The 4,261-nt window shown below is 37.3% G+C and overlaps 1 annotated feature.

Annotated features, from left to right (window-relative positions):
* Window positions 2,361-3,560: an enhancer, noted in NCBI's record as "MED14-independent group 3 enhancer chr7:41665014-41666213 (GRCh37/hg19 assembly coordinates)". NCBI's record gives its function as "activates an origin of replication core promoter dependent on BRD2, BRD4, P300/CBP and CDK7 cofactors, and independent of MED14, by STARR-seq in HCT116 cells {active_cell/tissue: HCT116}" and the evidence as "EXISTENCE:reporter gene assay evidence [ECO:0000049][PMID:35650434]".

The following is a 4,261-nucleotide window of genomic DNA, read 5'->3' as shown; positions in this document are numbered from 1 at the left end:
TCCTAACGAGAAGCCTGTTGTGCTCTGAAGTAGTCAAAGGGATGCAATGAATATTTCATCTCCTGAAACATTTAACAGAGAAAGGAATGCAGGAATAGAAAGTATATCTTAAAGCTATTTTCTGTTGGGTGAAGAGTAGGAATCGTCCATCTTTCTGGCCTTTGTTTCTGCTTCGACTAATAGGGTGCAGAGAGTGATAGCACAGGGAAGATATTTCCCAACACAGACATTATAGCCACACTATCATAAGAGATCAGATCTCTGGATGTAAAGTGGTGGAGATAAATATTTCTATGCTTTATGCAGTGAAAAAAACAAAACAAATGTTTTTCACTTTTTCTGCTACTTAGTTCCCTTTAGCAGATCCTTTAGTATTTCCAGTTCTAGAAAAACAAGCAACACATTGTTAGTTTATTGATATTGAGTAGAGACAGTTTATGGAAATAAAGGAATAGCACTCTTGATATTTTGAGGATGAAAGTGATTAAGGAGATCTTTGGTCAGGAGAGAAGAGTAATCTAAAGAGAAGGATACCATTCCAGAGAAAGAAAGAAAGAAAGAAAAAGAGCACCAGCTCTGAGGTTGGGTTCTGTACAACATCAGAACAATCAGGTAATTAAATGAGACTCTATACACCCTGGTTTATTTGACTGAATGTTTCTTACCTTTTAACTGGTTGTTTGGCTTTCACTTTAACTCAGTGATGTGACTACTTAAAGACATAATTAGCTCAGCTATCCTGGGTGTATTATGTAGCACTTTTCAAATGTAAATGTGCATAGGATCGCTTGTAGGGATTTTGCCAAATCGCAGATTCTGATTGGGGAGGTCTGGGTGGGGCACAGATTCTGCATTTCTAACAAGCTCCGAAGCGATGCTGATGCTGCTGGTCTGGGGACCACACTTGGAGCAGCAAGCGTGTGCTGCATGACATCACTGCCTGCATTCTTCTGTGGATACAGACTAATGAAAGGTATTCCCCTCGTTTAATATTGGTGAATGTATGAATTAAGTGACATTGTGTTTCATATTCCTCTTATATTTCCTAGAGCCATCTCAAAACTCTGATGGCAAATTACAAAATCATTTAAATCTGATGGTCCCCAACCCTCACTGCACATAAGCATCCCCTGGGGACCTTTTGAAAAATACAAATGTCCAGGCCCTAACCAAAGTTGATTAAGAATATCTGGGAGTGAGGCCAAAACATAATTTTTTCTCCTTCTCATTTTATTAGAAAGCCATTTTACATTGACAGTGTGTTGATTACCCATATGTCTATTGCGTAGTTGAAAGAAGCTTAATGATTATCCATATACCCGTATATCTAGATCCATCAACTCTTGCCATTCTGCTATATTTAAATTATTTAATGATATATTTTTGCTTTATCTAAGGCAGTTCTCAACTGGGGGCAATTTCACACTTCAGGGGACATTTAGCAATATCTGAAGACATTTTTGGTTGCCACAACTAGGGGGAGGGGAACAGTTTGTGATGCTAATAAAAGTAGAGGACAGGGATCTTATTCAACATCCTATAATGCACAGGCCAGTACCCCACGACAACGAATCATCCAGCCCAAAATGTCAACAAGGATATAATATAATATAACATAATAATTAATATTGAATCATTTGGAATTAGCTTCAAGATGTTTTTATTTATCACTCCTGAATACTTTAACATTTCCAAAAATCCTCCCACATAACCACAACATCAATATCATACATAAGAGGATGAACAATTATTCCTTAATATCTTCTAACAGTGAGTTCACATTTAAATTTTCTCAACTGGACTCTACATTTTTTTTTACATTTTTTAAACCAGAATTCAGTTAAGTTTTGTGCATTGCACTTGTTTCATTTCTTTAGTCTTAAAATTTAGATCAGTCCTCCAGACTTTTTTTTTAAGTTATTTTTCTTGAAGAGACTAATCTAATTGTCCCACATTTGGGGCTTGATTTGATTATTTCCTCTTGTTTTATTGTTCGACTTATTTTTCTATTTCTTGTATTTCCTATGAAGTAGATGTGAGATGTTTATAAAGGCTTGATTAAATTCAAATTAAACACTTATAGCAAGAATATTGAGGGTGGGGCTATGTACCTTACGTTGCATGATAGCAGGAGCTACATAATTTCTGGTTTCTCCTCTAACTGTGTTGCTAAATTTGATCCCTTAATTCAGGTAGTGATTTCTCCCCATTGTAAGGTTCATTTCCCACTTTGTGATGAGCAAGTCTGTCTTGGGATGGGTTTTTGACACCTTCGCGTCTCCTAGCCTTCAACTAATTTCACTTTATAGTGTTAGCATCCACTGATGCTCTTTGTCAGAGTCAAAGGAGGTCAAAAAATCATATTTCTTCATTTATTAATAACTTTTAAATTCTATAATCTCCATTTTTAGCTAGAATTCTATTTAAAAAAACTCCTTCTACTACAATTTCTTCCAAAAAAGGCAGAATAAATGATTAATTCCTTCCTTTAACCTCTACTTTTCCGAATAGACTTCAGAATAAGAAGCTGATGTTATACTTACTTACCACCTAGTTACTCCTAACCTGGACTTTGCTGCAATACAGGAAAAATAGATGAATACAGCAGGAGATGTTACAAACTTTCTACAATCAGAAAAAATAAAGCTACAAGGTTTTCTTTTTATTAGAGTATTTGTAGTATGTAAAAAACATGTATATTAATGTAATTTCAAGTTAAAAGAGGTAAACTTCTTCTAAAGTTTCAGAAAGGCATTTACCTTTATAAAGATATTTGTCGAATATCAACTGTAAGATGGAAGACGGGTTGAAAGTCATTAAGTTGAAATCGATTTCTTCATAACTTGGAAGATATTTGAATAGGCTGTTTAGTCTCTCCTGAATCCACGGGTGTAAGTGATGTGTGAAAGCCAAACCCTTTTCAGACAACAGCTAAACAAATACTCAGTTAAGTTCTTGGATTTAAAAGACGGTTGTGTTTGGAAATCATTATTTTCCACAAGGGAAAGAAGACATGTTACAGGAAGCAACTGGAACCAGTTTTACCCCTTTGTTTCAAAGCCTCCAGTTCTTCATCTCTGAGCCTAGAATTTCATCTTGGTTCCTTTTTTTTTAGGAAGAGCAACTTTTAGCTGGCTGGCAGTTTTTAATTCACCTTGGTGTGGCACACCCGTTTCCTAGGCCGGGTCTCAAACCTACACCTGGGAAGGTAAAAGTTCATTCTTTGAATTCATTGTCTTAGATCTGGCCATAAAGGAGAGCCCTGCCTTCAGTTTATAACATGGTAAATTTGATTTTATGATGAATAAATGGGCACTTAGCACCAAAATCTTGCAGGCGTCATCCAGATGTCTCAGAACTTGAGTGAGCACATGGATCTGGCCACATGGACACTTGTGTTCACTGGATGGATGCACAGTCTGGAGAGAAGTTGCATTTTTTCAAGGTCTGGAAATTTTAACAGTATCTGGCAGCTACTTGGTTTTTAAGATAATCCTGTCACTGTTTCTGGTTATGAATAGGGGTGGGGGTGGGGGCTCCAGAAGTGATGGTTTGGTGGCTTATTGAAATTGGGTGGAGATGTTGGCATGTGGGAGCCTGGAGCGTGAGCACAAGCAAGCTTTCTGGGAAGAGACCTGTGATCGTGTTACTCTCGGTCACTTAAGAACCTGAGTTGTGTGGGCATAATGGGTGGAGGTGGGGGATGGGGGAGAGAAAAAAGAGAATCAGAACATGAGTTCTGTGGACACAAAGAAATTGGTTAATTTACCCAGACTTTCACTTTTCAAATAATTGTTTGTCTGGTCCTTAATCCTTAGCCAAGTGATTCCCTAAGGATGTGTTAATTCATTATTTTATCTATTAAAGATGTGCCATCAAAACAACCCTTTCTCAAGTTACAAAACCATCTTCTCAGTTAGCCTTTGCTTGTCTGGCAAGGTTTGATAAACAGGCTAGTCTGTTGTCCTGATGACTCAGCCAGGGCTCTGCTCTGCCTCTCACTCTCATCCCTTGCTACTGGTGGCCCAGGAGTAGACTGTCACCAACTAGTACATGTGCATACTATTAAAAACAAACAAACAAACAAACAAACAAACAAACAAAAACAACCACTGGGCAAGTGCTTCCTCAATTTTCTTTTCATTGAATCAAGAGGCTCTCTTTATTACTCTTTACTGAACAGTCAGAAACAGAAATAAGGAGGCCACTTCCAGATAGATGGAACATCACAATCATTTTGACCTCTTGATTGTTCAGTTGA

This window comes from Homo sapiens, chromosome 7 (assembly GCF_000001405.40).
Source record: "Homo sapiens chromosome 7, GRCh38.p14 Primary Assembly".
Classification (NCBI taxonomy): Eukaryota; Metazoa; Chordata; class Mammalia; order Primates; family Hominidae; genus Homo; species Homo sapiens.
This window is presented reverse-complemented; position numbering and strand designations above follow the sequence as displayed.